We start from the raw sequence: 14,529 nt of genomic DNA on the forward strand, positions 1-14,529 counted from the left end.
CTGGGAATCATTTTACCAAACATATGGCTCTATACTGCTTTGTAATTCCATTTTCAAATATCACCAATATTTCTTTTGCCTAAACGTGTGTGTGTGTGTGTTTTTCTGTGATTTTCTTTTCCTTCCTCAAATAAAGCCTTAACAAATACAGCCATTTCCAAAGTAGTAGCTCTTAGTCTCAAAGTAGCAATAAGCTATGTTCTGGTGCTACAAAATGTAGCAGGTAAAACTTTTTATGCTGAATGTGTCATTGCTTGTTTTACAAAAGCCCACGGAGTGTGGCTGAATAAAAAGCTTTGGTGTTGCTTCTGTGGACAAGGTGAAAGGAGACAAAGACTATAATCCACAGTATTTGATTACAGGAATTAATTTCCTCTCATGAAGAATAGAATCTACTGCAGTAACTCTGTCACTACCTGACAAACCAAAGGCAGCACTTTTTCTTTTAAATACAGTCATCTTTGCCAAAGTGTGCCAATTAACTCAGCTGCTTTCACTAAATGAAAACTTTCATTTTACAGAGCATTCTTTTACTATGGTGTCTCAAGAGCTAAAAAGGGAATTTTGTTTAAATGTTACCTAAATCATTTTTTCCAGCCTGATGGAATGCTTTCATTTTAAACACATTTTCACAATTACCTCACTTTTACTCTGTCTGCCAGAAAGGAATAGGGAGAATGGAGATAACATTTGAATCATTTAGCTTATGACAGTAAAATTTGAGAATTTTAATGGAGTGGAGGGTTTATATTTTGTATACTAAGAATAGACATGTATTTTTTTCAATAAGGAATTGATATCGTAAATGGACTATCTTATCAAAAAAATTTTATTTTTATCTGCTAAAATATTTCTGAGAGGTTTTCAAAACAACTATGCACATAGCATGATAACAGCAACTTTGTGTTAAAATAAGAATGAGGTCACAAAGACCATAACAAAGCCTGAAACACTTCAACTGTGCCATATGCATTTGAAAACATCTCCTGTTTAAGGAAAACACTTTCTTTTTTGCAACACTAGCCAAATTGTTGCTTAAGTCATATGAGGCCTAAAAATATCTCTACACAAAACCCAGATGTAAATCCCAGATGTAAAAATTCTAAATATCATGTTTCTTAAAAATATAACCTAGAAAATCTCTACCAAAATTAAAATCTAAACCCAATAAACATGTTATCTTTCTTTTCCCCAGATTCACATTAAAATTTTAATAACCATCATAGCAGATATTATTATAGGTATGTTCGGAATAGGTAGTTACTCCAATATCTAACTGATTAATTAATATTCTTTTTCTATTTATGCTTCAAATCTGAAGGCTAAGTGAAATTTTTCTTAACTTTTCTTCTGAGACTAGAAATATTTATGTGTTGGTCGGGTGTGGTGGCTCACATCTGTAATCCCAGCACTTTGGGAGGCCGAGGCGAGTGGATCACGAGGTCAAGAGATGCAGACCATTTTGGCCAACATGGTGAAACCCTGAAATACAAAAATTAGCTGGGCATGGTGGCATGCACCTGTAGTCCCAGTTACTTGGGGGATTGAGGCAGGAGAATTGCTTGAACCCGGGAGGCAGAGGTTGCAGTGAGCTGCGATCGCACACTACACTCCAGCCTGGCAACAGAGCGAGACACTGCCTCAACCAAAAAAAAAAAAAAAAAGAAAGAAAGAAATATTTATGTATTAATGGGACATCTCTCCCAGATATGCAATAACAGGCCAAAGAGATTTAAATATATTCATGAATTATAAATGTGGCTTCTCTTATTGTCGCTAATGCTTTATTTTGATGATCACTGAGAAATCTCTGATGAAATTTTATATTAATGTAAATGTAGAGAATAGTATCAATGACTAATATGGTTAAATGTCTTTTTATATAATTTGTTCAAAATTTATATAAAAGGTAAATGCAGTCATCTCATCCATTTACTAAAATGTGAAAAAAAGAGAAACATAATTAATTTGTATATTTCATGGATTTAAGAATTTTGCATTCCCTCTACACTATATAATAAACTAAAATAAGACATTTTTAAAAAATTAAAGCAATCTGCAACATGTTTTTCTCTTAGCAGTGCTGAAATGTGAATAATGTAATTAATTAAAATTTACTTTCATCCTTTTCTTTCTTTGTCCCAGCACGTGACAAAGAAACAAGTGAAAGAGAATAACTTGTTAAAAAAGATTTAACTTGTTAAAAAAAGCAAGTAAAAGAGAATAAGGGAGGGGGAGCTAAAATAATGGCATACACACAAATAAGCTTAAGTCTTTAAGTCTTGAATCTTCAAAGATTAACTCCGACGTGTAGGTAAAATTAAGCCGATGTAGCCAGTTCATTATATTGGGCCCAGGGGCATAAGGAACTCGGTTCAATGGAAAACTTCAGTAGGACTGACAGTGGTCTACTACAAGCAAGGAGAGCAAGAATGCACACCTTCATCACAATACAAAGGCTTTTGACTTTTGCTGGCATTTTTAACCTATAAATGATTTGGAAGCTAATGATTATTCTAGCAAGGAAATAGAGCAGTACAACAGTTATGACCCATTTCATATTTATATTCACTTCTTTCTCACTTCTGAGATTCATTTAGCCAAATGGCTATAGAAAAATCCCTGGGACTCTTGCACTTATAAAGCATGTTACCTTAAAGGACCACTGAAAAGTAGTTTTTAATCCTTCCTCTCTCTTCTAGCATTTGGTAAGATACGGTGGTCTCTAGAAGTTTTCCACATGGTCTGCTTTGTCCCTGTAGATTTATCAAGAATCCTATGAATCTTCTTGTTTTTTGTTGTCTAATATGTATTGTGGTAACTTCGGTAAACACGAGCTATCAAATGTTTGGACAGTTAGTAACCTATTTCTGCACTATGCTCTAAATCAATTTGTTCATATCTGATGATAATTCAGATGATAATTCATTGTGGAAAATGAACAGTTACTACTAAAGGCATATTCTAGTGCCTTGTCACATAGAAAAAATAAATGCAACTGTTGCTCTCCATTAAAAAGTAAAAAAAAATCTTTAAGATTTTAATTTGTCTTTTGCTGAGATAGTTATTTTAAACAACAACAGGAAAGGAAATCGCCCTATGTATTATTTATTTATTTTTGATAGTCTTTGATACAGTATCTGTGAAAGAACATCATTTCCTCAAATTAGAACAAATTTAGATCCAATTAAGAAACACATGGGGAAAATATGTTTGAGACACATTAGACTTCAGTACAGACCAGAGAGGGCTGTCAGTGCAGGCTTCATCTCTTACCAGCTTCTTGCACCCTCTGTTGCTTCCTCCATTCTCCTCTGTATTTCTCCTCCCACTTACCCTTCTTTATTGCCTCTGTGCCTTGCTCTTCCAGCTCCTGAATTATCCTTGTAGGGGCCCTCCCCACCCCCAGGTAAATGAAGAAGGTCAGGCCAGCAGGGGCCAGGACTTTTTGCCTCATGGGTTAGCATATTACTCAGGAAGGTGTTCAATAAACCACAAAATTTATTTTCAAGTTCTGAATTTCAAAACACAATGTAAAATAATTCTTACTGGCACAAATGTCTAAGTGTGACTATTTCACCAGAACAGGTTTTGTGTTTCATATTGGCATGATTACTTTTAAATATAACTTTCTAAATTTGTTTGCAAATAAAATTGTATGGTTTGGCAAAACAAATAATATTTGATCACTAATTTAAAAGACTTTTGTGATGCATCTGGTGATATGATGGGGGCACATTAAGCCATTAAACTTTGCATTGTATTTATCAGTTTGCATTGTTTGATTATATCTAATCACACCTTAGCATATGCAAACAGAAGTTAAAGCTTGCAATTACTTAGTACAATGATTCACAACTGAAGTGCTAAAATAACTAAGCAATTTGAAAGATAGATACATTTTTGAATGTTAATAAATTTTTCCAAGGAGATTTCCCTTTGCAATGGTGACATCCTTCATTTTTCTTTTTGAAATTGGAAACAGCAATCAATTATTGTCATTAAAGAAAACTGCTCTTGATCTATGTTTTTGCAACTCTGCATGATAAATGGTGTTTAAAATCCTAATTCCTGATATAGAATGGGGTTTGGTGGGTGGTGGGACCTTATCTTTCTATTGACAAGTTCACCAAGGCATTAGCATGCCATCAGATGGTCTTTTTATCACTCAAATTGTCATTTTTATGAAATTATTTTGTATACTTGAATGAGCTGTTCTTCCACTGTAATCTTATATATATATTTTGGTTCCAAAGTTAACTTTCAAGGTAAGTTTGTAGTTTCTAGGTAATTTTTCGGGCTGGTTTTATTTCTTCAGTATAGACTGTTAATGTATGTGTATGTCGTCAACTATGAACCTGGCACACCAAGGATAAAGTAAGAGTATCATTATAACCTGATGACAATGGAAATTCAGCTTTTGAGCTTTGAGAAAAAGATTGTAAGAAACTACCAATCTTAGGAAATAATAAAGAAAAAAACATGCTAGTGGTTAAAAAAAAAAACATAGGCTATATATTTAAGATCAGGAGGGGACCATAAGGGATCATTAAACTCCATAATGCCCAGCACGCATCATTCTGCTAACCAGAATTGTTAGATGTCCTGTCTTGCAATGATCCTTAAAAAAAAAAAAAACTCTTGGCAAGATGCATTTACTGAATTTCTTCTCACTAAGAGTTTCTGACCAGTCTTTCTGGTTTTCTCATAAATTAAGCTTAAAGTAATAGATTTTAAATTTCTGTCTCCACCCCACCTAGGAAAGAGTTGCCTAAAATGATCTCATTAGACCAGAGTTCTATACTGTGTCTAATAGATGTGGAAGTTATTATAATTCTAGGCTAGACTTGAAAGTGATTTTGGATTTATAGGGGGAAGATTTGACTTTTCCAATACTCAGTTTCATTAATACTGTGAAAAGAAAATTGGAATTGTAGCCTCCTGGGGTGTTTGTGAATTGAGATTAGCACACTTTTTTCCCCCATTTGAAAAAAAACAACTCAAAGTTTATTACTTTTTCCCATTTTTTTGCTTCAATACAGTGTAGGCCAGAAGAAACAATTATGATGCAATCATTCACAAGAAGCCATGTTTAAATACTACATTTGTAGGAAAGCAGGGACACAATGATTTATATGACATGCATTAATTTCGACTCATGCGGTGGTTTTGTAAGAAGTGAGGGATGCTGACTGTTTCAAATTCCTTCCCTTCTCCCTCCCACCAATTCCACCCATGCCTGCACATTCTGAAGTACACTTACGGAGGTCAGACAAGTCTTGAGAGAGGACATGTCTGACACATCTTAGCCCTTCCCCAATACATCGGAGATTTAGAAAGAACTTGGAAATCAATAAACCTTTGCTACCTGCCTGGCTGCTGTCTCCGATATTTTCCTCTGCTTCTTTCAAAACCACCAAAGCATGCATTTGAAGGGCAGTTAAGGGGCCACCACTCTGATATTGAGACGTTCATTATCTTCTCCAGAGATCTAGGTATTGAATGGGAAGGGATGCTAGACACGGAAAAACTCATCATGTGCCTGCATGATGGAGAAACCCAACTAGGACAGGCTGCTACCTCATATGGTACCACATCGAACAGAAGAGACAATGGATGTCCACACTCTGTATGACCTTGGTGACACTGAAGACAAATAAACAGAGGAACATGCACAATCTCCCTCATCTCCAGGGGAAGCCATAGGATCATGGTATTTACAAATCTTATTCTTCAATTATTCACTATGTTGTAAACTATATGTCCACAGCTTAGTCATCTATAAGCTTCATAGACTTTTTACATAGTCATTGTATCCTTGTGGTTTGCATCTATTATGGTGCTTACTCCAGCACCATGGTCCTTACTGTTCCCATGGCCATTCATAGTCTGTTCACAGCTACCTACTCCAATTTGTCTTCCATATTTGTCAAAGGAAGTTAGAGCCATAATATTATTGCTGTCCCCAACTCCTCACATACCAAAAAGAGTTCAACCTTTATGCCTTGCTCATATAACCTTTTATCTCCTGCCTGTTTAAATAGTACTTATTTCTCGAAGCTTGGCTCAAATGTCCCATCTTTTATGATTTTTTTTCTCTAAGAAAATCCCCTCCTTCTATCAACGAGTATATAATGAGCTATAGTTAACATTCCAGGGACTATATGAGGTCCTGAGGGTATAGGAGATAACGAAACAAACTTGATGTATATGTCCTCATGGACCTTAAAATATAGTGAGGCAGAGAGGCATACAAGAAGGAATCACACAGTTAAAGTAACAGCTGGGATATGCATGATGAAGGAAAACTGTAGGTACCATGCAGGAGTAGGACAAAGGTTTCTGATTGCAACTGCAGAATCAGATCTTTCTGAATTAGTGACACTTATGATAAAAATGAGTAGAGAGTCGTCAAGTGAAAGTGGGTAGAGAAGTCTACGAAAAACATGTCGAATGACCTTGAGGAAACAAAGTTTACTTTTCAGGAATTAAACAACAGTTAGAGTGGTTGTAGCACAGTGAGATTTAAGGGAGAGTGAGAAGAAATTTCAAGGTGGACATGAAATTTATCACAGAGACTGTAGACTATGGAATAAAGTCATAATAAAAAGATGAGCGTATTTAACCCCATAAATAACAATTTTATGTGGCAAAAGCCATAATATCATTAACAAAATGAAAATGACAAAGGAGGGAAATATCTGTAGTACATATGACGGACCAAGAGTAAATACCTCTAAAATACAGAGTGTGTGTCAACTGATAGGAAAAAAGACAAACAACCTAACAGAAGTATGGAGAAAACTACACACAAGCAAGTGGAGAAGAGATCTCAATGCTGGTGAGAATATTCTTAATAATTATTTGATTGTTATTAGAAAGTAATCCAATAACATCTATTAAATTTTTTAAAATAAATAAATTCTCTCAACCGTATATCACATCACAAATTTTAACATTAATTCTATACTATTGTAAAATCTCACTTAAATGTTTCATCCAATAGTTTTGTCTTTTTTCAACTAGACTGTTGGTCCTTTGACAGTTTCCTGTGACTCTGTTTCTCTTTCTTATTAGTTCTCTCACCTTCCAAACTCTAATGAAGATTGAACACACTGGCTGAAAACTGCATGTTTTATGTATAGTTAGATGAAAGCTTTTGTAACTTGATAAATTTTCAAGGGTAAACTAGGTTGAATCTAATCATTAAGAAAGTGTGAAAGTGTGAAAGCCAAGAACTGTGTGGCTCACACCTGCAGTCGCAGCACTTTGAGAGGCTGAAGCCAGGTGTTCAAGACCAGCCTGGGAAAAAGAACAAGATACTGTCTCTAGAAAAAATTAAAACAAATATTAGTTGGGCATAGTGGTGCACACCTGTAGTCCTAGCTACTCGAGTCCGAGGTGGGAGGACCATTTGAGCCCAGGAGTTTAAGAATAGAGTGAGCCACGATCATGTCACTGCCCTCCAGCCTGGGAGACAGAGCAAGAAAGTGAGAGACCTTTGATTTTAAAGTTTTGAGTAAAGGTGCTAAGCAAGGGGGTTGAACACTGACATTAACATCTCATATTTCTTTAACTCACTACTTCTCTAACCCTCAACCTTTGTAATATCTGCAGTAAAAACGATAAATGTAATATTTACTTCATTAAATCAGAAATCACTTCTTCTGTGCTTTGGAGAATTGGGATCAATATACAATAATGAAAATACTGCATTTGCTTTCCCTATGCTTCAAGGTAATATGTCACTTAATCCCAATGACTAAAGTCACTAAGCTATTTAAAGTTAACTGAGTCATCAGTTTGATTCATTTGGATGCCTTATTTACATCAACATCATCTGACACCCACAGTACTGCAAATAGTTGACAGCTAACTTGAGCTCTTTTTTCAATTCAGAGTAGTTGTAGAAATTTCTAGGGTGCTTTTCAGTCCTGTTGCTATTGGAATTGAAAAGGGTCTCTTTACTCAGGCCCAACTTTCCATAATTGTCAAGCAGAAGAAAGCCATATAGGCAATAATTGAGAAAATCAGTTTCAAAACTAGGGACCCCAGAGAGTCTGTATATGTTTTTCCTCAAAATGTATTACATTCCAGAAAAATGCAAGAAGAGTTATATTTTGAAATGTGGATGATACTCCTTATTAACTGATTTCAACTCAACTGAGCTTCTTGATACCAAAATAGCTTCTCTTCCTGGGAGCTCATTGACTACAACACCCAAAAATATATACATCCAGAAATCACTTTTCTTAAGATCCATTTCCTTTTTTATATATAGATAATTGAATAATCTATCTTTACAAAATAATGAGATTTATTCCACAGAATTCTTAAGGCCTGAAACTAGAAATTTTTGGAAAACCTGGTTTATAGTAAGACAAAAATGGCAACATTATAGCTAGAGTAATGAGGAGTATGTGTGTGCATGTGTGTGAATGTGTGTGCATGTGAATATTGCAGCATTCCTTCCAATTCTCTCTCAGAAGTTGCTGAGTTTGCTGGGCATGGTAATTCATGCCTGTAATCCCAGTGCTTTGGGAGGCTGAGAGAGGAGTATTGCTTGAAGCCAAGAGTTCCAGACTAGCCTGGGCAACAAAGGGAGGAGACTCTGTCTCTACAGAAAATGTAAAAAAATTAGCCTGGCATGGTGGCGCATGCCTGTAGTCTCAGCTTCTGGGGAGGCTGAGGTGGGAGGATCACTTGAGCCCAGCAGTTTGGGGGTGCAGTGAGCCATAACTGCAGCACTACACTCCTGCTGGGCAATAGAGAACCCAATTAAAGAAAATGCTGAAGTCATTCTTCTTATCCTTTCCTTTCCTTTTCGCTTTCCTTTTCCTTTTCCCCTTTCACCTTTCTTTCTCCTTTCTCCTTTCCTTTCCTTCCTCCTTTCCAAATTAATAGGTAAAGCCAAGCTATTAAATAGTTCCAGGAAACCTTTAGCAATAACTTGGGGGTAAACTTACTTAACTAAGTAATCAAAACCCTCATCAAAACCTTCTTTCTTACATTCTTCCATATATTTTAACATTACTCAATTGTCAACTTATGCTTAACAGAGCTACTATGACTTCCCTGTAACATCTATATTTTGTTTCTTATTTTATGTAGTTAACAGCTATTATTTTTACTATTATTATATGGTAATTGCTGTGCTATACATTTTACACATAAATTTCATCTAATTTATTTCTCATAACACTATGTGGTGTAGGTATTATCATTACAGGAAAGAAAACTAAGTCTCAAAGAGCTTAGCCTATTTAGACTTTATAAATGGCACAGCCAAAATTCAAACTCAGGTCTGTCTATGGCTACTAATATTTTATATACTCAGTGTGTCTGCATTTATCACTGTGGATCAATTTGTTATTGCTTCTGATTTTATTCCTGTGTTAAGTGTAAAAACACTTAGCACTTTAGGTGTATTTTCTTTTTTTGTTTGTTTATTTTTGTTTTTGTTTTTGTTTGAGACAGAGTCTTGCTCTGTCGCCCAGGCTGGAGCACAGTGGCGCGGTCTCAGCTCACTGCAAGCTCTGCCTCCCAGATTCACGCCATTCTCCTGCCTCAGCCTCCCAAGTAGCTGGGACTACACGCACCTGCCACCACGCCCGGCTAATTTTTTGAATTTTTGGTAGAGAAGGGGTTTCACCGTGTTAGCCAGGATGGTCTCGATCTCCTGATCTCATGATCCGCCCGCCTCGGCCTCCCAAAGTGCTGGGATTACAGGTGTGAGCCACTGCACCCGGGCTTTAGGTATATTTTCTAAGCAGTTGCCCAGTTCTAGCCCTTCCAGCCACATTCCTCTTCACCTGCTGCCAACTCTCTGTCCTTTGCTGTGGGAGTTAACATTCCCACAGAATCTTAGAAAAGCAGTGAAGAGTGGTAAAAAGAATATCGAATTATGCATTAGGTTCTAGTCTAGGTCCTGTCCTTAACTTTTTGAGTGACAGTTTGCAGTTCATTATCCTCTGCTAACATTCCTTTATCAGAAACCATGATAATGACACATAAATTATTTATATCCCAGGGGTTACTGTGGGCATCAGATCAGGTAGGGCATTCAGTATGAAAGTATCTGAGGAGGATGAGGACTTTGTAAAAACAGTGATTATCTGATTGTTTTCTCTACATCTTCCACACAGAAGGTACTGAATCAGCAGCTGTCCCAACAATTATACAGTTTTGCAATATGCACTGCACACAGTGTCTCAATCAGCTGTGGCAGTGACCATCAAGGACATTATCTCCCCGGGAGTAGTTGTATTTGAGGACTTCCCTTTCATGAAAAGAGGCCTTGTGAATTCAGGTGGCAAAAATGGTCCTTTGCATTGTAGGGCATGTTGTTTCAGGCCATTAACTGTGGTGCTGCATGTGGAGCTTGTTTCTGTTTTTCTGTGAGACATTCTATCTTTAATGGATCAGTGCTCTCTGGCTCCTATGGTTGGAGTGAATTACATTTCTCTCTCTTTCAAAATTTTATTATGATATTTTATGTTTTAGGTGTCATAAAATCAATCATCTAAGACTATTCTTTGGTAATAAATAGCTGACAGCAAGGCTTATTATGTTGGTAAAAACTCCTTTGATTAGGTTTCATTGTTTCTTTCTAAAATTGTTAAGTCAATTTTCCCCCACTTCCTTCCCTGCTCTGGAATTGCACAGTGTACTCCGGATGAAATCCAAAGGAGACTTTCCACTGCAGAGGTGCATGCTGGGTCCTAGGTGCACCCACCCCTCCACCAGGGTGCCCGCACAGCATCTATATAAACCTGAGTCATTCTGTGTAATGGGGCAGTGTACAATTTTCCTGATTTAGAATTGGGTCTCTTTGCTTTGGGTGATCATCTTTATATTGCTGTCATGAGGCTATTTCTGTCTCAATTTTCTTTTGTTGGGAAAAAGATCAGATTCTTTTTGGTGAAAATGCAATAGCTAAGGTGAAAGATTAGATAACTTCCCCTCTGAGCCCATTAGAGGGAAGTGTGTCAAGTCTAGCATTAGGAAATACGAAAGACAAGGCATCCATCATGGTGGGGAGGCTGTGTGGGTAGGTGTGCCTGGTAAGTCATGCTGCTGGGAGTATTCCTGAGTGTCTTAGGAAGGAAGCAGGAAAGTTAATCATTTCTTCTCTCGAAAGCACTCTCCCTTTCTCTCTCTCTCTCTTTTTGTTTAGTATAAAAAGCCCAATTTTTTTCCCTCCAAAAATAAAGTAAGAAGAGCAGATGATACGTGCCCTCCTCCTACCATAGGAACCTAAATTTATCCAGCTAAAGCACTGCTCCTGTCTTAGTGGTCACTGAGAAAAGTTTTATGCTGATAGAATTTAGAAATACTTTGAAAAACTTGCTAGATGCTGAAGTATCCATCATTAACATTTCCCTTTCTTGTTTGGGGATATTTCCATTTATGATATGGTTTACTATTTAGTTAGTTTGCTACTACTACTAATAAAAGCTAATTTATGTTATCAAAGCTTTCCTGTGGTAGACTATGTTAAGTGCTTTAGATGCATTGTCTCATTTTTATCAGTACAGCAATGTCATGAGTATTGAACATTATTCCTTTCATTTTGCAGATGTAAAAAGCTGAGTACACAGAGATTCAATGACTTGCCTCTAATTACACAGTAGGTGGCCAAATTGAGATTTGAACACAGGCATTGGGATTTCTCAAGTTTACTCAATAAAACAAAATATTTTAGTGTGCTCTTAGATGTGACAACGTCAGTATTTTTCTTTCTCCTATTTTTTTTTAATGTAATTAATGGCCTCTGGCTATACTGGCATCTTTAATACACCATTTTTAACCTGGAAATGTAAAGTATTCTGGTCTTTGCTATTATATTGCCAGTGTCAGGCTTCTTATAACATTTTGTTTATGAGTAAGGAGTAACTCATGATGAGAGTGATCTAATCGACAAGTTACTGTGTTGAGATGAGAGCTGAAGGCTAAAGCCAAATGTAGCATTTGCTGCCCCTTGGAGCATATGTGCCAACAATGAAAGCATATTGGCTCCTCATGGAGGCAGCATGTCCTCTAGATTGGAATTCAGAATATGCTTGCTGGCTTACCTCTGATATCATCTGAGCAAATGTAATTAATGAGGTACCAAGAGAACGCCACAGGAAGCCAATTTCATTATCAAAACAGGTATTTGACACAAATTACAAGACAACGTGACTTTATCCTTCCTGGATTTCATGTTTTCATAAGAGGTAAACTTACCTTATATTTTTCTAAACCTGTGCTACATTCCTCCCTTCAAGGTGGTTAAATATTTCAGAGCATGGATGTGCATCTTGTTATCTTCTTCCAAAGCTCAACAGGACATGTGCCATACTGTTAAAAGGCTATTATATTTTAGCATCTTCCAATAAAAAATTGTGATGTGAAACCGATTATTAATGCTCTAAGGCTGGATACATACAGGCTGCCTAAAAACTTATGCTGTACTCACTACTGAACAGAGTTTTCTGTTGCTTATTGTAGGAGGTTTCTGTATCAGCAGCCATCTATTTTTTACAGACTTCAAGTAAATGCTTAATCTCACTTAGCAAACTCACTTATATGCTAAGTAATTATTATAAGTGGCCAATCATATGTTAGTTAAAACATTTTAACAGAACCCACTCTGTCTAATACCTAAAGAGACTGTGCTGATTTTTTACTCAGATCAAATGCATAATGCCTTATGAGCGACCTCACTACAAGGCAGAATAATGCCTCCATTGGCACATAACCAGTGCTAGTAGCAGTGGGTCCTCCACCTGTCATTGGATGTGTGATAATTATTTGTTAAACCCTTAGTATGTGGTATGTTCCAGACACTCTGCCAAGCATTGTGTATGAATCCTCTTTTTCCAATCTCATAATTAACCGTATTCTCCCCATTTTACAGACTAGGAAACTGAGCATCAAAACTACTAAGTAAATTTCCCAAGACCAGGAAAGGGCTGCGTCTCAAATTAGTTCTATATAATTCCAAAGTCCTTGCCATAACTAATATTCATTTCTGGTGGCATGTCACAGTTCTTTTAAAATGTTGTTAAGAGCTTTTCTAAAGTGTAGCAACCATTATATTGTTAAAAAAAAAAAAAAGTTCAAACCTCAGAAAAGGGTCAAAATAGTTCAATTAAATACAAATTGCTATATTCTAAAAAACAAAACAAAAAACATATGTACACACACACACACACACACACACATATGAAATACCTTTTGCTTGTGATTTTGTTTTCTGCTGAACTCCTAGTAGAAACTAATTTTGTTGAATAAAAACTGGTTGCTGGGAAAGTTGATGTCAAGTTGACCAAACAAAGATAGGCTTCTTCCTGCCTCTGGGCCCCTGGCCTTCCATTTCTTAGGGCATTTGTAATTTCAAATACTTTATCTGTCCCTTTGATGTGTAAATATGGAGGACTTGGGAGCCATCTCTTCGTAATATAAACATCAGAGAAGATAGCGCCCCTATCTCCTAATTTCTGTGGAAAGGGTGGGAGCCTAACTTTAGTGGGCTCCATGCTCCAAACTGTAAAACTATCCCCCTGTCATGAAAACATGAGATAGTTTGTTTACATTTCCTTTGGGTGAAGCCCATTTGCAAGCACAGTTGGTCCCAAATCCATCCATCCCAGCACTTAAATACCCTCCAGCCTTTTTTGTTTGTTTGTTTTCAGTGAGTTGCCCTCGGGCTGAAATCTGGCCCACCTCTCCTATTGCAATAGCCTTGACTAAATCTTCCTTGCCTGTTTAACTTTGTTCAATATAATTTTTATTCTGACATTACTGCCTTCAGAAAAGCAGGGGAAAAGTGAGTAAAAATGATGTGTGATAAATCTCTTCTACTTTAACCATGTACTACTTATTTTTATTCCAGTGTTCTGGACAATTAAATTTATATGGAAAAAACATTTCCTACACCAGCACGTTGCACACTGAAACCCAGCTAGCACATCAGTTTCCAACTCCAGCTGCCCCATCCCGCACCTGAATGATGAGCTGGGCCCTCAGCGCTGATTCTAGCCTGGTACACAGGAGATGCTCTCGATGTTCCCTCAAATGGAACACTCATTGCTACTGTTTTTCTGGCTGCAGCTCAAAATCCTCCATTTTGACAGCAATGTGTTGGCTATTACGGACTAATTAAAGTCACTTTTGAATAATTACATAATAAATAACACACATTTAAATGTAGAACAAAATTATTTTCTAATCAAGCTCTAAAAATATGACCCAGCAAGACAGTCCTTGAAATGATTGTGATGACTTATTTAATGAAAAGGTGCACCTTGTTCAATATACATATCTTTATTCCTAATGTGTTTAATGGTATCAATTGAATAGAAATCCCTTGACCTTTTCTCAAAATAGCACACTGAAAAACCACTGAAAATTGCATGGTAATTGCAACAAATTTAGCTTAATAGTAATACATGTAAAGAATATGACATGAAATTATTTAAATGAACTTTTGAAAAATCGATTCTATATTTGTGAGGTGCCTGAATTTTAGAGGAAAAACCTTCT

General features: G+C 36.5%; 1 protein-coding gene across 21 annotated transcripts in view, besides 1 other annotated feature; it reads right to left on the bottom strand.

The window, feature by feature from the left end:
- NRXN1 (neurexin 1) overlaps positions 1 to 14,529 on the bottom strand; it is a 1,113,630-nt gene that overhangs the window by 5,132 nt on the left and 1,093,969 nt on the right. The window lies entirely within an intron of this gene.
- Positions 13,138 to 13,806: an enhancer, noted in NCBI's record as "OCT4-NANOG hESC enhancer chr2:50163910-50164578 (GRCh37/hg19 assembly coordinates)". NCBI's record gives its function as "activates a minimal SCP1, AML or CMV promoter by ChIP-STARR-seq in naive H9 embryonic stem cells {active_cell/tissue: H9 hESC(naive)}" and the evidence as "EXISTENCE:reporter gene assay evidence [ECO:0000049][PMID:30033119]".

This window comes from Homo sapiens, chromosome 2 (genome assembly GCF_000001405.40).
Source record: "Homo sapiens chromosome 2, GRCh38.p14 Primary Assembly".
NCBI classification, from domain to species: domain Eukaryota; kingdom Metazoa; phylum Chordata; class Mammalia; order Primates; family Hominidae; genus Homo; species Homo sapiens.